The sequence below is a fragment of the Homo sapiens genome, chromosome 11 (genome assembly GCF_000001405.40).
Source record: "Homo sapiens chromosome 11, GRCh38.p14 Primary Assembly".
Classification (NCBI taxonomy): domain Eukaryota; kingdom Metazoa; phylum Chordata; class Mammalia; order Primates; family Hominidae; genus Homo; species Homo sapiens.
The window spans coordinates 70,415,463-70,437,795 of NC_000011.10; the positions used below are offsets into that span (position 1 = coordinate 70,415,463).

The following is a 22,333-nucleotide window of genomic DNA, read 5'->3' on the forward strand; positions in this document are numbered from 1 at the left end:
GGGCCTTGCAGTGGGCCTGTCCGTTTAGGATGCCAGAGCTCTTGCGTCACTGCCACCTGCACCTGGCTTAGGAACCCAGAGGTCACAGCATCATGTGTTTCATATTTTTTTAAATGTCATGTCATGAATTCAGAGAGATTGTTTCAGGGACATTGGAAAGTATTTCTCCCCACTTTTTCATGTGTTTTTGGTCGTCACAGTCTGCTGTAGGCTTTGAATACCAGGGGAAGACTGAGAAGCATGCCTCCCAGAAAGGTAAGACGCGAAAGGTGCAGAAAGAGCCCGCTCCGGGGGCCCCGATGGGGAGAGTCACAGCCACCTGAAGCCGTTTCCCCGCGCTCCGGGGGCCCTGATGGGGAGAGTCACAGCCACCTGAAGCCGTTTCCTGAGCGGTGGCTGTTGCCACAAGGAGGACTCTGCCCTCCTCTTCATGTTTCTGGATCATCTGGATACCACATGATGGATGTATTCCCCGTTACACATCCCCCTCGGAGCCCTGGCATCTGCTGTCATTGTGGGGCTTCTCCCCCTTGTAGCGGAAGCCGCCTTCCCTTCATCTGGGCAGCGCTCCTCCTGGAAAAGAGAGCTCACAGATTGATCGGCAGAAAGCTAACTTCCCCCCAAGGCTAGAAACCAGAGTTGTTAAATTCTTGTTTTCCTTATACACATACGGTCTTAACTGCTGGTGATTAATCTTGATTACATCATGCAGTCTCTTTTTTGAAAGACCAAAGCATATCGCCACCTTAAAGTTCTCAGTTTATTTTTTGCAAGCTTATTTAGTTCTTCCTCCTTTGTGTCATTGCATCATCCGCGGAACAAGCTCTCAGTCCTTACGCAGTCTCGGTGCAGTCTAGGTGGAGGTAGCTGTGGTGTGGGCAGGCGGAGGATCAGGGTCTTGTCTCCCATGTTCAGCTGCATGGCTTTCTTCATATGAGGCTTTCTCTTTCCATTTTTTTCATTTTGTTTTGTTTGTTTGTTTGTTTTGAGACAGAGTCTCGCTCTGTTGCCCAGGCTGGAGTGCAGTGGCACGATCTCGGCTCACTGCAACCTGCGCCTCCTGGGTTCAAACGATTCTCCTGCCTCAGCCTCCCAAGTAGCTGGGATTACAGGTGTGTGCCACTACCCCTGGCTAGTTTTTCTATTTTTTAGTAAAGATGGGGTTTTGCCACGTTGGCCAGGCTGGTCTCAAACTCCTGGCCTCAAGTGATCCGCCCACCTCAGCCTCCAAAGTGCTGGTTCTTTGTATGAAGCTTTCCAGCTTTTACCTGAGCAGTTGATTTTCAAAGTGGGCATGCAGCGTCATTTCTGACTACACAAAGGAACTGCCCTGTAACAGCTGACAGGGCCCAGAACCCCCCCATGCACCTGTTGTGAAACAGGGTCCAGCGTCACCTGTATGGAGCAGTGGGTGGCTTGTTGTACATTTTAAAATGTGCGCTTGATGTGTTTGTGAGTTGTAACCCCTACACACTTTTGCTTAGTTTAACAAAAGGAACAGTGTAGTTCGTCCTCAGGCCCCCGTGCTAATTGCTGCCCTGTCTCTCCAGACTACTCCAGTGGTTTTGGCGGCAAGTATGGCGTGCAGGCCGACCGAGTAGACAAGAGCGCGGTGGGCTTCGACTACCAGGGCAAGACGGAGAAGCACGAGTCACAGAGAGGTGGGGCGGACCCCACGGTCTGTAATCACGCGTTTGCTCCAGAAACACCCACGAGGGCATTTTCTCTCTGCACACGTGATTGTTGTAGATTTTTTAACTGAAAATGTTTGGTGTTCTTTTCGTACCAGTGTATGTGGGCTTTTCCTAATTCGAATGGCTGCACAGTTCCCCATCGTATGAGGATTCCATAGTCCATGTAACCATTCCTTTTTTGAATGTGGAATTTAGGTTATTTATTTATTTATTTATTTATTTTTGGTAGAGATGAGGTCTTGCCGTGTTGCCCGGACTGGTCTTGATCTCCGTGGTCTCAAGCAATCCTCCCCCACCTTGGTTTCCTTAAGTGCTGGGATTACAGGTGTGACCTGTAAATTTTTTTTTTTTTTCTTTTAGACGGAGTCTCGCTCCGTTGCCCAGGCTGGAGTGTAGTGGCGTGATCTCTGCTCACTGCAACCTCCACCTCCCTGGTTCAAGCAATTCTCGTGCTTCAGCCTCCCGGCTAGCCGGGATTACAAGCACACGCCACCACGCCCAGCTAATTTTTGTATTTTTAGTAGAGACGGAGTTCTGCCATGTTGCCCAGGCTGGTCTTGAATTCCTGACCTCAGGTGATCGCCCTGCCTTGGCCTCCCAAAGTGCTGGGATTACAGGTGTGAGCCACTGCGCCCAGCTGAAACTTGACTGCAGGGAACATTCTTGTACCTGTGTTTTGTTCACAAGTGATTATTCAAAAGAATCAACTCCTAGACATGGAATTGCTGGGTCGAAGGCTATTGAATGTAAAATTTCCATAGATACTGCCAAGTTGTCCTTGGAGGCTGTGCTGAGTTCTTCCTTCCCCACTGCATAGCCTGTACACCATCACTCAGAGCGTTTCCCAGGGCTGCAGAGGCTGTGGCCTGCCTGTTTCCCTGTGCCTCTTGTTTGGCCTGCACATTTAAATTTTTAAAAATATTTGCCAACATTTGAAAAGTGAGAGCTTGACTATTTAAAAACTCAAAAAAAAAAAAAATTACCCCAAAGCAAGAAACACCACTGGAAGATCCGACCATGCTGGCTTGGCATTTCCCTGAGGAAAGTGCCGGTGGCCTGGAGGGCAGCTTGGCTTGTAGTTTGTCGCGGCCTGGCCTGGCCTTGCCTTCCTGCCGGTCAGGCCTTGCCTGCCGCACAGAGCTGCTTGCCTCTGCTCTCTGCCTCTTTCCTGGGAACAGTCCATTCCTCCTCTTCCCGACACCACACAGTTGTGAGCAGCGCATGCTCCGCGAAGCTGCATGAGTGTGTGACTCCAGGGAGCCAGGGAGCACAGGCCGAGCACCTGGGCAGACGCAAGGCTCCTTGGATGCTTCAGGCCTTCTCTCCCAGGCCTTGATCCTCTGCCTTGTGCTGTTAGTGGGTCCATGAGAGAGTCATGTTTTGGTGTCACAGTGACATGCTAAATGGCTTCATTCTGAGTAGAACTGAAGTTTCTGGAGGATGCTGTGTGTGTCCTATTTCCTGGCATCCCCCTGCGTGCTTCAGTTTGTGAAGAGTGGCCTTTGAAAGCCTTGCCCTTCTGCTGCCTCCTGAGCTTAGAGCCTTATCATAAACTCTCATCTCCTGCTAGCTTCTGGATGCAATGGATGATGTTACAGGAATTCATCTGCTGTACTTTATTTCTTTTTTTTTTTTTTTTGAGACGGAGTCTCTCTCTCTCGCCAGGCTGGAGTGCAGTGGTGCGATCTCAGCTCAGTGCAACCTCCTCCTTCCGGGTTCAAACAATTCTCCTGCCTCAGTCTCCTGAGTAGCCGGGATTACAGGCATGCACCACCAAGCCCAGCTAATTTTTGTATTTTTAGTAGAGGCGGGGTTTCACCATGTTGCCCAGGATGGTCTTGATCTCTTGACCTCATGATCCGCCCACCTTGGCCTCCCAAAGTGCTGGGATTACAGGTGTGAGCCACTGTGTCCAGCCTCTGCTGTACTTTAAAAAAAAAAACTTTTTTTCTTAATTCTTTTTTTTTTTTTGAGATGGAGTTTCACTCTTGTTGCTCAGGCTGGAGTGCAGTGGCGCAATCTCGGCTCACTGCAACCTTCACCTCCTGGGTTCCAGTGATTCTTCTGCCTCAGCCTCCCGAGTAGCTGGGATTACAGGTGTGGGCCACCACGCCCAGCTAATTTTGTATTTTTAGTAGAGATGGGGTTTCATAATGTTGGTCAGGCTGGACTTAAACCCCTGACCTCAGGTGATCCACCCACCTCGACCTCCCAAAGTGCTGTGATTACAGGCGTGAGCCCCCTCCCCCAGCCTGTTTTTTGAATTTTTAAAATATTAGCTAATGATTTAACTTAGAGATGGGGTCTTGCTATGTTGCTCAGGCTGGACTCCGCCTCCTGGGCTCAAGTGATCCTCCCTTCTCAGCCTCCTGAGTAGCTGGGCTGCAGGCACACACCCCCACCTCTGGTTACCACTGTTTGTGTTTCTGTTATTACACATAAATAGCACCTTTAAATACTGTCTGTATTATTCAGTGGTCCTACAGTGGACCTGAAAGATTTTTGTTTTTTTAATCAAAGGATAAAATACTTGCATGTTCACTGATTTCGTTGCTCCTTTTAAAGTAGTCCTTTTTTGTTTGTTTTTAGATTACTCCAAAGGTTTCGGCGGCAAATACGGTATCGACAAGGACAAAGTGGATAAGAGCGCCGTTGGCTTTGAGTATCAAGGCAAAACGGAGAAGCACGAGTCCCAGAAAGGTGTCTTCCGTTTTATCTTACCCTCCAGCCAGCAGCTAGTAATGTGACAGGTGGTAGCCACACCGGAAAAGGAAAAACAAAGCGTTATTGATAGCCCTTAACGTAGATGTCTCTTTTTCATGAAATGCCCAACTTGAAAACGGCACATCCAGAAACACAGCTGCTAAATAGGAACTCGCAGCTTGAGTGTTATGGCGCTCCAGCCCCAGCGGCGTTGCTTATCGTGGTGGCCACACCCCGCACGTCTGTGTTGCCCGTGTGAGCCTGTGCTGTCTCATGGTGCGGGTGGAAGCCGCATGCGTGGGAGCTTCCATGGGGTCCTGTCTGGCTTAGTCACGATGCTGAGGTCATAGACTAGGTTATTTCCTGCCACTCTCCAAGGAGGGCCTCTTCATGGATGTTATCTAAAGTATTACCAAAGATCCGGAAGGGAAGAGTAGATTGAGTGAATCATATGCGTTTAACTGTATTGAAAACATACTTTCCACCTGTGACCTGCACTACCTGTTAATGATGGGTTCTGGCCTTTCATTGTGCATGTAGACTATGTGAAAGGGTTTGGAGGAAAATTTGGTGTGCAGACAGACAGACAAGACAAATGTGCCCTTGGCTGGGATCACCAGGAGAAATTGCAGCTGCATGAATCCCAAAAAGGTACATTCACTCTGCCTGTATGCGAGATGGTTTTAGAAGTTTGTTTTTGTTCCTTGCGGGGTCAGTTGGTATGTGTTGTGTCTGCGTGTGCCTGCTGCACATTGTTTTGTCTTCACTGTTTGAAGTTGTCCTGTGTGCCCCCCCAATCCCCCAGTTCCCTCCAGCTAGTGTAGTCACAAACCCTCCCTGCTGACACGGGGTGGTACCCCAGAGAGCTGGGTTTACCTGGAAGTGGGTTGCACGGGCCAAGCCTGCAGCAGGGGGCTGGGTTTACCCAGGAGTGGGGACATGGGTCAAGCCTGCAGCGGGGGGCTGGGTTTACCCGGGAGTGGGGGCATGTGTCAGGCCTGCAGCGGGGGGCTGGGTTTACCCGGGAGTGGGGACATGGGCCAAGCCTGCAGTGCTCCTCATCCAGGCTTCTTGTCTATAAAGTGGGCCACGGTTTTTGGCAGGAGATACTTACTTTTGAACCGAAAGTGTTTTCTTGTTGGAATGGGTGCCCCTTCCCTGGAAAAAGGAGCCTGAGGGGGCTGAAAGCCTCTCAGTGTGACCCAGCCCTGAGAGAAGCAGGAGCGGGGCTAATGGGGCTGCAGCGCCCTCCGAATCTGCAGGGTCTCTCCTCCCGTGTACACAGATACGCACACTCGTCTGCAGTGTGCGTAGGACGCTAAGAATGAACTGCACAGCCGGGAGTGCCTTTACTGAATTATTTGAAGTACAGTTCTTAGGCTGTTCCAGATCTTCGCTGAATGTTCAGATTTTAAGTTCATTCTTTAACGTTGACCTCTGGAGCCACCTTCTGGCGCTGAGCCTGGGAGTAGGATCTCAAAGGCCCTAAGCTCAGGAGAGCCCTTGCTTTCTGGAAACTGTGTTTGATTTTTGCGCATGCTCATGCAATTCTAACCCAACTGTGTTTCCTCTTTTGGTTGTTTTCCCCACCGTTGCTTGTGGATTTTCAGATTATAAGACTGGTTTTGGAGGCAAATTCGGTGTTCAGTCGGAGAGGCAGGACTCCGCTGCTGTGGGGTTTGATTACAAGGAGAAGCTGGCCAAGCACGAGTCCCAGCAAGGCACAGTTGCCACCAGCCTCCTACCCTCCCCCCGACCCTCCTGTGCGGCCACTTCTAGCACAGACTTCAGGGCTCACCGTCAGCACCTGCAACACAGTCCTCCTGTGTCACCACTTGTCAGCTGTCAGGCTGTTCGGCACTTTAAACCCATTTCTAGTAGAGCGACACTGATTTTGAGTGGTTCACTTTCTTCCCTGTGAACTTGTGATCTGTGTATGGCAGGATGCGCCAGTTAGTGTGTGGGTGCCATCTTTCTAACCCGGTGACCCATCCAGTCTCTGGACTGGGGCATCTCCGGTCTCCAGCAGCATTCTGCCCGAGGCTGTTCTGCTGTTATTGGTGACTGCCGTGAGCCACTGAGTCAGGCCTTCCAGATGAGGAGAGAGGTGTTGGTTCAACCAAACCACTGGCCATTTGACCAGGGGCTTCGTAGCAGCAAGGGCCAGGAGACAGGCGTGTTCTGTGTGGTTTCTGTGTTTCATTTGTGGTGGTGTTTTTGGCCGGGGTTGGGAGGTTTTTTGTTTGTTCTGTTTGATGACACCATATGTGTGTAACATCTCCACACAGAGCCACACAGTATGTACGTGAAGCCAGCTCTGCATCCTTCCTTAGAGCAGTTATGTTGTTACCTTCAAAATTTGGACTTGGTTATTAGAACCTGAACACATAATTGGAAAAACAGTAATTCCCTAACCTTGCAGGGAAGACTCTAGGCTTTCCACCTGCAGCGTTAGAAACACACAGCAGTGTTCAGGTGTGGGCAGGTAGACACACCTGGGGTGGTCCCGCAGACTGCATGGAGATGGCAGTGGCTCTCCGTGGCATCACTGCTGCATGACAGTGTGACTTTCATGTGGATCTGTGTTGCTGCAACGGAAGTCTTTGGCTGGTAGAATTTCCACATGGATTTTTTTTTTCTCTTAAAAAGCAAGAGAACAAACTGCGATTGAGCCTCTTTTTAGCGCTCAGTAGAGCAGGCGCACAGGAAGCAGATGAGAATAAGCCCGTGCTGGTGCGGAAGACTGTGCTATTGAAGTGGCGCGTTGCAAAGGCCTGTCCGTGCCCTCTTTCCTCGCTTAGCTCCTGCCTGCTGCCCGCCGCCCCTCCTGCCCCTCCTGCCCCTCAGGGAATGCTGAAGCCTCTGCCCCTGGCCTGTGCTCTGCTTCTCACTGCCTGTGTCTCACGACCATGGGTGGAAGCAAAACTTGCCTTGCAAGTGAAGCCTCGCTTGGCCATTCTCGTTTCTTCCCGCTGTGGTGCACCTTCTTGGGCTGTTTCTGGATCTGTCTGCATGCACCCACGGCCACCCCCATGCTCGCCTCCACCTCAGAGTAAGTGTTGTGTTTTGCCACGTTTCAGACTACTCCAAAGGATTCGGCGGGAAGTATGGGGTGCAGAAGGATCGGATGGATAAGGTAAATATTCCAGCCCCGGAGCTTAGTGTCTTCTGCCTGCAGGGGCTCTTGGTGGGCGTGGCTCACCGTGCTGGCCAACATCCACGCGCTGGGGTGGGGCACAAGTGATTTCCGTCGTGGTGGTGGTGGTGGTGGCGATGACTGACTCGGACAGTCTTGTGCTCCTCATGGCCGTGCTGTGGGATAGGCGCTGGCACCGGCCCACCTCCTAACTGGGGGCCCCAGGCCAGGCAGGCTCAGCACCTGGCTGCAGCCATAGGAACCCAGATGTTTAACATGAGAGGTGAGAGCCTCGAGGGCTCATGTCCATTTGAACTTAAATTCTTAATAGTAAATCAGATTGGAACCTGAGTGTGTTAGACTGCGTGTGGGGCTACCTCGCTGGCAGCCAGCGCTGCGTGTGCGGTGATGAGCCATGTCTCCCGTCTTCAGCCTCGTAGAGACGCGGGCTCCACACTGCCTGCTCCTGCGCGTGGCCTGTGGTCAGGGGTGGCAGGGTCAGTCCTTGCCTCGCAGCTGACCACACAGCACCATCCAGGGGCGTAGGCAGGCAGAGCAGGTGTTCGGGCTGGGCTCCCCAGGGAGCAGTAGCCTGGGCTCATTTCTGAGGGCAGGCGCGAGTTCACCAGGAGAGAAGGCTCAGGAGACCACGGAGGGGCGAGGTGTGGGCCTGGGTGGGACAGGAGTCACTGCAGGTTCTCAAGGAGCCTAGCTGCAGAGGGAGGGTGGGGAGCGGGGATAGAGCTGGCCCTGGAGAGCCCCACACACCACAGAGCATTCTGCATGTCGTGACATGCGTCACACACCACAGAGCATCTGACGTGCGTGGCCCCAGAAAGGTTAGCAGGCAAGGAACACTGGGGGGGTCTACTTTGAGAAGCCCCCGGCCTCAGCGTGGAGTCTGGGTTGTGGGGGTTGGCCTGGGCAGAGGGGTGTGGTCCTGAAGAGAGCTGGAGGGGCTCGGGTGGTGGAGAAGCAGGGCATGGTGTTTGGCGCCAAGGGACGCAGGGGAGGGAGCAGTCGGGTGGATGTGGGGTGGACGTGGGGCCAACTGTGGAGCCGAAGAACTGGGAGGAGCAGATGTGGGTGTCAGCGAGAGAGAGCTGGGGTAGGGCCGGGGCCGGGTCCGGGTGGCGTGCAGAGTTGGGAGGGGAGTAGGCACGCGGTCAGAGGACACTGGGCAGGGGGACCCAGTGAGGTAGCAGGGGCCTTGCAAGGCACTGGGACAGACGGAGGGAAGGAGCTCCCCTGTGGGTGAGTCAGAGGTTGTGGCTTTGAGGCCGGAACCTGAGGGACTGCCTGTGTTGTGGGTGTCTGTGGTCAGCATTGCTGGTGTTGGCGGTGACCGCTGAGCTTGTGAGCACGTGAGGAGGCAGTGTGTGGGTGTGGCCTTTCGTGTCATTGTCTTTCATCCAGGAGGGGGTGGAGCTTCTCTCTCTGTTTGCTGTGTGATGGAGGAGTCCAAGGCTTAGAGAGGGTGACGTAACTGCCCGGGTCCCCATACATTGTGGGGATAGGGCTACAACCCAGGCTGGGAGGTGAAGTTGCCCCCTCAGGGCAAGGTGATGTCTGCAGAGGGCCCAGTGGGTGATGGGACCCAGTAAGGCTGATGGCCTTGCCTTTGAACAGGTGCAAGCAGCTCAAGGGACATGGAGTAGACGCTGGAGCTGACTGATGGGAGGAGGGAGCGGGGTCCGAGGAAGGACAGGCGGGCCAGGAAGGGGGCAAGCAGGAGGTGCTGGGCAGAAAGGGGCCATGGTATGGGGGCTCTGGTGGCTTCTGAGCCTCAGGTGTTCTCATCAGAGGTAGTGAAACCCACAGTGAAACTGGGTACGGCCACTGGTCTCCATGAGCCCTGACAGTCTCCACCTGAGTCAGCACGTAAGAGTCATCGCCGTCGCTTGGTCAGACCATAGTTGAGTCCCCTGCAATGCAGAAAGGTGTGATTGCACCACTGGGTAGTGTGTAGGACGGGCCACTGGAGGCTTGCATGTGTCCCCAGCGTCTTCGCTTCCTGTAAATGCTCACACCTCTGGGTGGCGACGGAGGGTGGGGAAGGCTTGAGGCTGATCCCAGAATTGGTTTGTGGTAGAGCAGATGGAGATACATGCATTTCTTATGCTAATGCTGACCCACGATTGCCTGCAAATGTGGTTGGTAATAGTTTTCATGCCTCAGTTAGTTTGCAAAACCGAGAGGCCATGAAGAGTGCTCTGGGCTGTGTGGCTGGGCCTTTGGGAAGATCTGGGGAAGGCATTTGCATCTGGCAGGAGCTACCACAGGGCATGGAGAAAAGAGAAAAGTGCTCTCCTGACGCCCATGTCCTGTCTCTGCAGAATGCGTCAACCTTTGAGGATGTCACCCAGGTGTCCTCTGCCTACCAGAAGACAGTACCTGTCGAAGCTGGTGAGTCCCGGCTGATACCAGGAGCACCGTGTGGTTTCCCAGGAAAACACTGAGGGGAAGGACAGTTGTGAAACAGCCAGGAGCAGATGCACCACTAGTTGAAAGCGTGGTTGTTGCTGCGTATTTTTGGGAAAGAAAATGATCGTTCTGATGAAGATCTTGTTTCTCCTGCAGAGGTTTAGAGTCACCTTTTAGACGCAGCATGGTGCAGCCGTTTCAGTGGGGCCCGTTTCAAGGGGCTCTTCCCAGAGCAAAGGGGCTAAGTGCACATTCACAAGGGCCTCCACACTGCCAGTGACCAGCTTCTGGGAGCAGCTGGGGCCTGCCCAACTCCCTGAGCCGCTCGGTCGCAGCTGTGACAGGAGGAAGACATCATGACGTCGATGTGCAGGCGACAGCAGACATTCTCTCTGCTGCTCGTTCTTGGGCCCTTGACAGGGAGCTCGAAACCTGTCCTTTTCTGTGCTGGACACACGATGGAGTCAGATGTGGGCCCTGCCCCGGAGAGTCAAGTAGTTGGGGAAAATGTTATACATACATGAGAGCAAGTGCTAAATTTAACACAGGATGCAGAGAGCCACCACTGACTTCCTTCAGGGGCTATGGACCCACAGTTCTCAGAGATTGAGGGCCCAGGACGCTTTGACACTTTGACCACTCGTGAGAACCCCCAAGATGTTGATGTATTTGATGACATTGACTATATTAGAAATTAGAGGAATGTGGCCCGGCACAGTGGCTCATGCCTGTAATCCCAGCACTTTGGGAGGCCAAGACGGGCGGATCACGAGGTCAGGAGATCGAGACCATCCTGGCTAACACGATGAAACCCCGTCTCTACTAAAAATACAAAAACAAAATTAGCCAGGCATGGTGGCGGGCGCCTGTAGTCCCAGCTACTCGGGAGGCTGAGACAGGAGAATGGCGTGAACCCAGGAGGCGGAGCTTGCAGTGAGCGGAGTTTGCGCCACTGCACTCCAGCCTGGATGACAGAGCGAGACTCCGTCTCAAAAAAAAAAAAAAAAGAGAGAGAGGAATGGTTTATTTATTTATTTATTTTGAGACCGGGTCTTGCTGTGTCATCCAGGCAGGACTGCTGCCTCAGTCTCCTGGGCTCAAGCAGTCCTCTTGCCTCAGCCTCTGGAGTAGCTGGAACTATAAGCGCATGCCCCCTGCCCAGTTAAATTTTTTTTTTTTTTGAGACAGAGTATCACTTTGTCGCCCAGGCTGGAGTGCAGTGGCGCGGACTCGGCTCACTGCAAGCTCCGCCTCCCATCCCGGGTTCACGGCATTCTCCTGCCTCAAGCCTCCGGAGTAGCTGGGACTACAGGCGCCTGCCACCACGCCCGGCTAATTTTTTTGTTGTTGTTGCTATTTTTTAGTAGAGACGGGGTTTCACCGTGTTAGCCAGGATGGTCTCGATCTCCTGACCTCATGATCTGCCCGCCTCGGCCTCCCAAAGTGCTGGGATTACAGGCATGAGCCACTGTGCCCGGCCAAATTTTTTTATCTTTAGTAGAGATGAGGTCTCACTGTGTTGCCCAGGCTGGTCTTGAATTCCTGAGCTCAAGTGATCCACCTGCCTCGGCCTCTCAAAGTGCTGGGATTACAGGCATGAGCGACATTGGAAAGTTATTAATTGGTTCACTTAAAAAGAATAAACCTTGGCCGGGTGTGGTGGCTCATACCTGTAATCCCAGCACTCTGGGAGGCCGAGGTGGGTGGATCACCTGAGGTCAGGAGTTTGAGACCAGACTGGCCAACATGGTGAAACCCTGTCTCTACTAAAGATACAAAAAGTAGCTGGGCATGGTGGTCCACGCCTGTAATCCCAGCTACTCAGAAGACTGAGGTACGAGAATTGCTTGAACCTGGAGGCAGAGGTCGCAGTGAGCCTTGATTGCGCCACTGCACTCCAGCCTGGGCGACAACAGCTAAACTCCATCTCAAAAAATAAAAATAATAATATAACTGGCCATGCACAGTGGCTCATTCCTGTAATCCCAGCACTTAGTGAGAAGACCGGCATTGTTTTGTTTTGTAAATCTCTTTAATAGAAGATGGCTGCACTCTCACATCTGCCTCTGCAGTCTATCGATGTTACGTTGTTTAGGAAGAACATGTGGAATCACCTAGGTAGGCGATTGGGAAAGGGAGGAGTGTTTGTAACCTTGAGGGCAGCGTGGGTGTCCTTCTGCGACGCCGCCCAAGCGTGCCAGGCAGTGGTGGTCCTGCAGGCCGGCTCCTCTGGCCCTGTGAGGGACTCGCTACCCACTGTGCTTGGGCAGCACTGTGTGTTGGTCATTTGGAAAATGCTGGGTCTCTGAGTTGTGCTCGTCTTCCAGTTGTGGACACTTCTCATTCCACAATACCAAAAAAAATCACATTTGCTGTCATCATCTATTTCATCTGCAGAAGCTGAGTGGAAATCAGCATGTTCATGTGGCAGCCTCACATTTTTCAAAATTCTGTCTTTTACTTGAAAGCTGGAATTTTCCCGTTGGCAACAAATACTCCAGTAATTTTTCTTGACACAATAGGCTTAGTTCATTCACTTGGGAGAAAACTGTTGCCAGATACCCAGCTTTGCATAACCATAGTTGGACTGTCAGTTGTTATTTCAGGGAAAAACGCTATTCCATGAGAAAACAGTCAACTTGCAGCTCTCATGGTTCTATTCATGGTCCTTGAGACACAGACAGCCACCGCCACAGTCCCGGACACAGCAGGGAAGGCTCATGTGTCTTCCCACTTTTTTTTTTTTTTTTTTTTTTTTTTTTTTTGAGACAGAGTCTCGCTCTGTCGCGAGACTGGAGTGCAGTGGCACAATCTCGGCTCACTGCAACCCCTGCCTCCCAGGTTCAAGCGATTCTCCTGCCTCAGCCTCCCGAGTAGCTGGGATTACAGGTGCCTGCCACCAAGCCCAGCTAATTTTTCTATTTTTAGTAGAGACAGGGTTTCACCATGTTGGCCAGGATGGTCTTGATCTCTTGACCTCGTGATCCGCCCACCTTAGCCTCCCAAAGTGCTGGAATTACAGGTGTGAGCCACCATGCCCGGCCATATTCCCCACTTTTGACTTAAATTTTTATCATTTTTTCTTAATAGACACGGGGTCTCACTGTCTTTCCCAGGCTGGTCTCAAACTCCTGATCTCAGTCTTCCCGTCTCAACCTCCCAAAGTGCTGGGATTACAGGCATGAGCCACTGCCCTCTTTTCCATTTTTGTCACACACAATATAAAAAAATGTATACTCTGGTTGAGATTTACTATACTCAGTATACGTCAATTACAGTATACATCAGTACCTTAACTGCTTTATCAAGGACAGATGTCTTTAAGGGAAATTGGCTGTTTTTATTTAAAAAGGTGAGTGTGGTGGTGAAGATACCGTCTTATTTAGAGATCTTCCTGATGCCAGGCTTAGGGGGATTGCCAGTCCCACCAGGTACGCAGTGCCCTGCGGCAGGTGCCCAGTGCTGGCTCCGGACCAGTGGGCTGAGCTGGCAGCTGCAAGAACCTTTCCCTCCTTGGGGGTTAGGGGGATGACCGGTTCCTGGGGAGGTCACTCTGTGTGGGTGGGGCTGTTGTCCAGGAGCAGTGTTTTTGCTGTGCTCAAGGCACACGTCCTCCCTCCTTCCTCTATAGTGACCAGCAAAACAAGTAACATCAGAGCTAACTTTGAAAACCTCGCTAAGGAGAAAGAGCAGGAGGACAGGCGGAAGGCGGAGGCGGAGAGAGCCCAGCGGATGGCCAAGGAGCGGCAGGAGCAGGAAGAGGCCAGGAGGAAGCTGGAGGTGAGTGGCAAGGAGTGGGCCGCAGCGCACCCTCCCTGGGACCTGTGCCGAGGGGATTGGGAGCTCTGGGGCCTGGGCGGGGCTTATTCTCTCCTGGCCAGGTTTTCCTTGGAAGGCATGTTTAACTCTCCTTTAAGGCTCTCCATTAAGGCACTTGTCACTTGCAGCCACACATAGGCTGAGTCTCTGGCCACAATGCTCCAGGCAGCCGGCTAGCGCTATCCTGGTCTTGCCGGTCCAGCCCCAGGACCCGCCAACCTGCCCTGCCCTCTGTCCCTGAGCTGACGGCAGAGTCTTGTCGGCTTCCACCTCCACGGGGCTCCTGTCCAAATGTCAGCCTGAGTCTCTTCTCACCCCTCCCCCTCTGGAAGCCCCTCCTTTCCCAGGTGGAAGTTTGGGGTTTGGAGGGGACTCTGTGCAGAGGCAGCCTGCTCTCGGGGCCTGCTTCTGCTTGGCCAGCCCAGCCCCGCTCACCCAAGCCCCTGGGCTGTGGAGAAGCGCTCCCAGAGAAAGATGCCAGAAGTGCACCCCTGGCAGGGGCGGAGCACGAGCCTGTGTCTGGGTGCTTTGGGTCTAGCCTGGGTGGCTTGCCACTGACAAGGACTTTCCTTGTGCTCAGCTGGATCAGGGGGGTTGTGAATAGAGCCTGAGGCCTACAGATGTGTGTGTGTGAAGTTACCAGGTGTGGTTCTGCAGCTGGGGCATCTGCAGTGTGGGGCAGGCCCAGCCTGTCTGGAAGCCTGGGCTTCTCCTATCCACCCCAGGCCCTGCCCCTGCAGGGCCACACAGGACGTGCTACTTTGGGTGTTTAACCTGTGGATGGCATCAGGTGACGTGGGAATTTACAACTGTCCTGTTGGGGTCAAGCAAGGCCATAGATGCCAGGAACCGTGCTAGGGTCTCAAGACCAGGGGTGGTTTTCTCTTCAAAAAGACAAGACAGCACTACCATTGTTCCCGTTAGAGCAAGGCCGCCTGCAGAGGGAGAGGAGGGAAGGGGTTTGGAGTGGACACCTGGGGTTCAGATCCTGCCTGGGCAGCTCCCTGGCCAGTGTGCCTGTGCCTGCCACCTCACCCTCAGACTCAGCGTCTGGCACTGGAGCCCACAGGCTGTCAGTGAGTTTCCTGTTGCTGCCGTAGTCACCACCACACACAGCACACAGCTAGTGTCTTATAGCTCTGGAGGTCAGAGGTCCTCAAAGATGTCAGCAGGGCTGTGTTCCTCCTGGTGGCCCCTCGGCCCTGTCTTCCCATCTCCAGCCTCTGCTTTTGTTGTCACCGCCCCTCCTCTGTCCCTCACACTCCTGCCTCCCTCCTCTCAGGACCTTGTGATTACATTGGGTCCACCCAGGCAGTCCAGAGTTCTCCCCATCACAGAACCCTTAGTTTCATCACATACACAGTCCCTCCCCATGGGGTCTGGGGACTGCGATGTCAGCAGCTTTGAGGGGCTATTATCCTACCCCAGTTCATCCTTTGGCCCCTAAAGCTTCATGTCCATCCCATGTGCAAACATACTCAGCCCATTTTAAGGTCCCCAAAGTCTCAACCCATTGCAGCATCAACTCAGACTCCCAAATCTGTGCCTAAACTATCTAATCGTGTGTGGGCGAGAATGAGCTGTGGCCCAGTCCCGGCACTGTCGCGTCACTGGCTGTGTGATCTCGGCCTCAGAGCACACCTGCCCCTCGAATCCTGCCTAGGTGCTGGTGGGATCTGAGGCTTGGTGCTCCAGCTCCCCTGCCCCTCGGATCCTGCCTGGGTGCTGGTGGGATCTGAGACTTGGTGCTCCAGCTCCCCTGCCCCTCGGATCCTGCTGGGGTGCTGGTGGGATCTGAGGCTTGGTGCTCCAGCTCAGCCTTGGTGTGGGTGTTTTCCACTCCTTTCCCCAGAGCATGCCTAGAGCTTGCACACGATCTTCTGAAACACGGCAGGCGTGACAGTGCAGAGTGTCATGGCAGCATTCTGATTGCTGTTTGTTTTCAATCACAGGAGCAAGCCAGAGCCAAAACGCAAACGCCCCCTGTGTCGCCCGCACCTCAGCCAACCGAGGAGAGGCTGCCCTCGAGCCCCGTCTATGAGGTTGGTGTCTTTGGTGTTTGAATGAGCGTGAGTGACTTACTGCCAGAGCCCAGGTCCTGTTTGTGGAGTGGAGGAAGCCCTTGCAGGCAGGCAGTGTGGCGTGGGTGTAGAGGGCATCGCTGCATTCCACGCCCGGAGAGGGGTGGGCCAGGAGCGCCTGGGGGGTGGGTGACATGCCTCAGTGCTGTCAGGGGATAGCTGTGCAGGCCCACATGCCATCCTTTCACCCCTCTGCAGCCTGTTGTAGTCTGGCCACTGTCACTGCAGTCCCTGCTGTAGTCACCTGCTATCAGATAATCAGATGGGGGTGTCTTCACCCCACTTGCTCTCTGCTGTGCAGGACGCCGCCTCACTCCCTAATGGCAGTGCTGCCCTCCTTCATCACTGAGCCCCTGCCTCCCGCACAATCTGCCTTCTATGCCTGCCCCATTCAGCTCTCCAGCCTTGCAGCCCCTCATGAGTGTGGCTGCAGACATGCTGTCCGGCCCCTCCCTGTGCTGCTGACCCCCTCTCATGGGTCCCCCAGTGTTCCGTCCCCATCCCTGAGTTACGGAGCCGCCTGCCGATGCCCCGCCCATCCCTGACTTTGGGTCTCCTGCTCCCCGCCAGCACCTCTGCGCTAACCACACCCTCTACCTGTAACCACCTCTCCTGTCCCCAGCCCTTGCCCTTTCTCCATCCCATGGCCATCATCCTGGTCTATGCATTCATCTCTGCTCGCCCAGGAGCCAGTCAGTTACAGGGGTCACACTCCAGACCATGGTAGTTCAGGAGCCCAGAGAGAGCCCTGGAGACAGGCCGGGTCTGGGATCTGGGCCTCGATGGCCGTGGCCTTGTCACCACCCGACTGTCCCTCCTTGGCTACGCTGCTGCCTGCTGCCTTTACCCTGCCGGGCCCTGGGGGGATGTGGTAAGTGAGGCCTTGCAGCTTGTCAGGAACCGGCCTCCCCCTCTAGTCCCTCCCCTTGGCAGCCAGCGCCATCTGCCTCAAGGAAGCTCCGACCCTGCCCCTCCCGTGCAGTTCAGCCCTTGTGTGGTTCCTGGTGCCTGTGCTGAGGGTGGAGTCGCTCTCCCTGCCCGATTACTCTCCCTGGCTAGCAGCTCTCCACCACTGGCTCTTCCCAGATCTCCTGGGTGCGCGGTTCTGAGCTGTCGGCATTGCTTTCTTTCAGTCACTGCCGGTGACATCAGGTGGACCCTGGTCAGAAACATTGATTAAAGCCACTGTCGGTGATAAGCAGTTCAGAATTTTCGCTGGGGCTCCGAAGCGGCAGTGGTTATAGATAGAGAGGTGTTCCACTGCGCACCTTTGTAGTTGAATGTGATTCTTTGGCGATGCCCTGTCTGTAGGCTCAGCTGCTCTGGAGCCACGTGGTGAAGCCGCTGTCAGGCAGGGCCAGGGTCGAGCAGCACAGGCAGGAGGGTGGCCGCTCGGCCCAAGGGTGCCTTGTGTGGCCTTGGAGATGAGGCCTAAAAAAAGAAATCAGCCAAATTAACCCAACAAAGACAGGCTCTACCCCCAGGCAACAGTGTGGGCAGGGGCGTGTCTCCTAACCTGCTGTGTGGGCGTGGTTATTGCAGGACTGGAGTGTCGGTGGTGAGGACCGGGTCATCATCGGGAAGGAAATGGCATGTGGGCACTCACCACCATGGTGAACACACCGGCAGGCCTGGCCTTCCTATACCGCGTCTGTTTTCTCAGTCCTGGCTGGGACTGAGAATTAGATGGCCCGTGGGTTTCTGCTGGCTGTGGCAGTACAGCTACTGCTCTCTAGAAGCCAGCATGGGCCCCGTGCCATGTGCGTGTGACCCTTCCCCAGGATGCGGCTTCCTTCAAGGCAGAGCTGAGCTACAGAGGCCCTGTGAGTGGGACGGAGCCGGAGCCCGTGTACAGCATGGAGGCCGCTGACTACCGAGAGGCCAGCAGCCAGCAGGGCCTGGCCTATGCCACAGAGGCTGTCTATGAAAGCGCAGAGGCCCCGGGCCACTATCCCGCAGGTACTGGGGCCCCACGCTGCAGCGCCCTGCCCAGGGCAGGGAGCTCCCGGGACATCCTGCTCGACCTGTGGCGTCGTTGCGAGGAGCGTGGGTTTCCCACTGACACGCCTTTGCTTGCTTGCTATAGGGTCTTCTTGTCCCTGGAGGGAAGTGCTCTAGGCACATTTGGGGCATCGGCTCCTGTGCTGGGTCCCAGGAAGATCCCCATTGTGCTGGGGACGGGTGGGCAGGGGCAGAGGAAGGGAGGGTTTCAGCTGCCGCCCTGTGTCCTTGAGACAAAATCTTAGGAAGTGTCGTCTAAAACTTGAGAAGGCTGGGAACCTGTGTGGGACTTTGTATTGTTCAGCTCTGTCATGGCTTTCTTTTAGAGGACAGCACCTACGATGAGTACGAGAACGATCTGGGGATCACAGCCGTCGCCCTGTACGACTACCAGGCTGGTGAGCGGCCTGCAAAAGCACTTGGAGGGGAGACCCAGGCAGCTGCGCCTGCCTCTGCTTGTTTTCTGAGAATTCACTTCTCTAGCGTTGTTAGTTTTAGAAGTAATTTATGTTGAGATAATTTCAGAGATATAGAAAAGTTGCAGGTATAGTGCCAAGAACTCCCATGTTCCCTACCCGGATTCCATCTCTGCACACACACGCACACACCCCCTGTTATCTTTAGTATTCTCTGAACCCTTGGAGAGCTGCAGGGGTGCTGCCACCCCCAAAGACTCCAGCGTGTTTCCCAAGATCAAAGATGCTGTCCCACAGGGACACCCCACCCTCCAGGTGAGGGGGCCGCACAGATGCCTTGATGTTCGAGACCCCATTCCTGCCTGTCCTGCCCCGGCCGCCAGCTCCCGTGTGGCCTGCACGTTCCCCTGAGTTCCCTTTGCGGCCTTGGCAGTTTAAGAGCAGCCTCAGCTCCTGGGCTGGCCTCAGCCGCCCGCCCCGTGTTCCCTCAGGGCCAGGCTGAGCTGTGCTCTGGTGGCGGTGAGGTCTTGGAGACCATGCGGTGGGGCTCTCTGCTGGGCCGCATAGCATCCACTTGTCCCTCTGTCTCAGCCACCACCTGGTCCACAAAGTCACCACCACCCCTCTGCAGTTGACAAGCATCTTACGGGTGGCGTGGGATTCCCCTCAGAACCCCCGGCCTCTGCCTCTTGAGTGCTTCCCGTTTGCAACTTTCCATCAGCGCGGAAGCTGGCATTCTACCATAAGTGAGCGCTGGCCGTCCCCGTTCAGTGCCTTTTGCACACGTGCATTTGCGTACACGCATGTGGGTGTGTCTGTGGCATCTCGGCACCTGTGCGTGGATTCTCATCACCGTGGCTTTTGCCCTCCATTCCCATTTCAGCCATCACCTCGGGCTTCTCTCCGGGTGTCCCCTGGCTGTCCTTCCACTGCGGCCTCCGCAGCCCATCTCCCCACCCCCTCCACAGACACGTCTGCCAGAGAGAGGGGAAGGGAGGGCAGGCGGGGCTGGAGTTATGTGGTGGAAACCTGCTCCTGAGGAAGGGGTCCGGGTGGGGTTGGTGCTTGTGTGAAGGGCTCTGTGCCTCTTTGTACTCTCTCGGTTCATGTTCACAAATCCTGGCCTTGGTGGCATGGGAGAGGCAGCAGGAGCCTCCGCGGTGGTCCGCATCTCTGCAGGGGGCATCTCTGAGCAGGCTGCCTGGGAGCTTGCTCTGGGTTGTGCTTTTTTTCTGGCAGACCAGGAAACGCTTGCACTTCAGCATCTTTCTCTGTGTTCTCTTCCCCAGCGGGCGATGATGAGATCTCATTTGACCCTGATGACATCATCACCAACATCGAGATGATTGACGACGGCTGGTGGCGCGGGGTGTGCAAGGGCCGGTACGGGCTCTTCCCAGCCAACTATGTGGAGCTGCGGCAGTAGGGCCCCCAGCCCCCCCCCGGAGCTGCGCCCTGGATCCTCACACTACAGATCAGGCCTTCTTTGGTTCTTGGGTGGTTTTGGGTTTTTTCTGTTTTTTTTTTTTTTTTTTTTTTTTTGAAGGTGGGGAGGGGAATATACACATTGCTTTTATATTTAATACTTTTGCTGATGCTTTTGAAAATGTTTATGCCACAGAATTTGCTAATATATTGTAATCACATTCCTTAGGAGGACTTTGGTAATTGGTTTTATGCATTGATGGTTTTTTTTTTCTTTTTTGCCAAATTGACTGTCACGCGGCAGCTTCAGGGAGCTCGCATTCTCTTGTGTTCGTGTTGCCCTCGTGCCCATCAAGTGCAGTCGGGACCTCCCAGGACAAGCACGAGGCCTCAGGTCGGCCCTGTGGCGGGTAGGCAGGAAGGACTGTCCCAGACGAGGGGCTTCCTCTAGAGTCTCACTGCTGGGGAGGAGAGGACTGGGCCTGATGGAAGTTAACCCGGAGCTAAGTCACCCAGAGCACAGGAGCTGCCATGTCAGATGGGAAATCTGCCTATGTCATACCGTGACAGCCCGCAGGATCAGGTGACTTCTAGCAGAGACCCTGGTTTTTTTCCTGTGCCCACTCCGGCTTGTCCTCATCTCTACCCATCCCCTGATGCCCAGGTCACCGGGAGGGCTGCTGGGAGCCTCTCCTGTCCCCGCCGGGCAGTGTCACTGAGTCCTTGAAATCCTCCCCTGCCCCGCGGGTCTCTGGATTGGGACGCACAGTGCAGTTGAGGTCTGCGTCGGGCTTGGCTTTTCACAAAGGCTGATGTCTTAACTGTCACCCATATGGTCCCTGGGCCACCGGGCAGCCTGGGGCGGTGTGTGTGCCATGTCACAGCATGGCCTCTCGGCCTTGGGAAGGAAGGCAGTGCCTGCTCTGCTGTGAGCCGCCAGGAACCCTCCTCCTGTCAATGGGGGTGTAGTATTTTTGCCAAAATATCATGTTCAATTTCAGTAGTTTGATCAGTTGAAGGCTAGAAGTGTGAAGTGCAGATGAGTGTGTGTTCTTCCCCAAGGTCCCCCCACAGCTCCAGGACACCGCTGTCCTGGCATTTGTGGCCACTCACTTTGTAGGAAACTCATCTCCTTCCTGAGGAGCCGGGAGGCTGGACCAGTCCCGTCGTGCAGTCAGGTGGGCGGTGTGTCTTTCCAGAAGGTCACGTGGAAATGTCTCGGGACTTGGGTCCCGGAGTGCCCGTGAAGCGTGTTTTTGCTCCTGAGGTGCATTTTCTCATCATCCTTGCTTTACCACAATGAGCAATGAGGTCGGGTTTTATATGCAACTTATTGTATCTGAATTCCTGTAGCACACCTCATAGGTATGATTTTTTTAAATTAAAGAATTCAGAATAAACATTTTTTGATCCACTTGCGTGATTTGCTTTGGTCTGTGGTCACTCCGTTCTGCAGTGGAAGCTGCGTCGACACTCTCGGTGTCCTGCGCCCCGGACCTGGGCTGGCGGAGGCTCTCCTGCCGTCCAGTGCGTCTCACGCGTTCTGTTCTGGCTTTAGACCGAACCGTACGTTCCCTTTTCAGTGTTCATTCAAAGGTGCTGCTTATGAACTGAAATGTGTTTACTCTGGCAGATGATTCAGTTTTTTGCACAAAGGTTCCAAGCAAAATAAAACACTCTGTGCTTAAAAGTCATTTCTGAATTACAGTTCTCAAATCCTGAGGGGGATTTTGCTCCCAGTCTCGTTTTGCTCAGGGGCACCAGAAGTTAAAGGCTAAGGGGAACAGTGGCACTGAGGGAGCAGGTGTGCCCTCGGGAGCCGGGGGTGCTGGGGAGCTGGGTTCCGGCTCACACTTCTGCCCATCAGGTGCTCCCAGGGAGCTTTCGGCTACACGACATGCCTGCTACCCCTTCCAACCTGGGTGGTGACGGAGCACTGCCTCCTCCCTTGGGCTGTCCCACACCTGCCTCTGGCTTAGGAAACAGTGCCTCTGCCAGCTCTGCCCACAGGAGCCTAACGTGAGAGTGCCCCCGCCCTCCTGCCACAACCGGGCTGCTGTGGGTTCTGCATCACAGGGTTGCAGCCCTAACGGCGAGCCCCGTCCCACACAGGGCCTGTCTGCTGGGTGAGATTGCAGCCACCTGCAGGGAGCTGAGTCCTGAAGAAATGAGGCATGAAGGCTTGTGAACCAGGGGAAAGTCCCAGCCAGGGTGGGCAGACGGGGTCAGGGGGCTGGAGGACAGGGTGTGACGAAGGGAGGGGGCCATGCAGAAAGGGCCCCCGCTGGCCCACTGTCTGCCCAGTCGGTGTGTGCCTGTGCCGCCTGCGGATGAGCATGGCAGGGGCTCAACAGGAGCGGGACACATCTTGAGTGGGTCTGTGTTTCTGTTCTATTGGTGGCCAAGCGTGGCCTGGCAGCTTGAGTGCCTGGAGCCAACCACCTGAATCTTAGCCGCTTTCTTTTTAGATGTGGTTGGGGTTTTTTGTTTCTGTTTCTTGAGAAAGGGTCTTGCTCTTTCGCCCAGGCTGGAGTACAGTGGCGTGATCTCCGCTCCTGCAACCTGTGCACCCAGGGCTCAAGCAATCCTCCCACCTCAGCCTCCCAAGTAGCTGGGACTACAGGTGCATGCCAC

General features: G+C 54.5%; 1 protein-coding gene across 6 annotated transcripts in view, besides 1 other annotated feature; it reads left to right on the forward strand.

Moving 5' to 3' along the window:
• Window positions 1-21,113, forward strand: part of CTTN (cortactin) — a 38,047-nt gene extending 16,934 nt beyond the window's left edge. Inside the window, exons 7-19 of one of the 6 annotated variants that reach the window (NM_001184740.2) lie at window positions 201-255; window positions 1,551-1,661; window positions 4,284-4,394; window positions 4,938-5,048; window positions 7,478-7,533; window positions 9,870-9,939; window positions 13,589-13,737; window positions 15,729-15,818; window positions 17,639-17,816; window positions 18,185-18,256; window positions 19,564-19,657; window positions 20,004-20,282; window positions 20,820-21,113. In NM_001184740.2, coding sequence (NP_001171669.1) covers window positions 201-255; window positions 1,551-1,661; window positions 4,284-4,394; window positions 4,938-5,048; window positions 7,478-7,533; window positions 9,870-9,939; window positions 13,589-13,737; window positions 15,729-15,818; window positions 17,639-17,816; window positions 18,185-18,256; window positions 19,564-19,657; window positions 20,004-20,282; window positions 20,820-20,946 — 1,503 coding nt within the window. In that variant the 3' untranslated portion in view covers window positions 20,947-21,113. Of the gene's footprint in view, window positions 1-200; window positions 256-1,550; window positions 1,662-4,283; window positions 4,395-4,937; window positions 5,049-6,007; window positions 6,119-7,046; window positions 7,534-9,869; window positions 9,940-10,234; window positions 10,626-13,588; window positions 13,738-15,728; window positions 15,819-17,638; window positions 17,817-18,184; window positions 18,257-19,563 lie in introns of those variants that run through there. The other 5 variants (NM_005231.4, NM_138565.3, XM_006718447.4 and 2 more) reach the window with 5 other exon arrangements.
• Window positions 4,083-5,282: an enhancer, noted in NCBI's record as "CDK7 strongly-dependent group 2 enhancer chr11:70265651-70266850 (GRCh37/hg19 assembly coordinates)". NCBI's record gives its function as "activates an origin of replication core promoter dependent on BRD2, BRD4, P300/CBP, MED14 and CDK7 cofactors, with strong dependence on CDK7, by STARR-seq in HCT116 cells {active_cell/tissue: HCT116}" and the evidence as "EXISTENCE:reporter gene assay evidence [ECO:0000049][PMID:35650434]".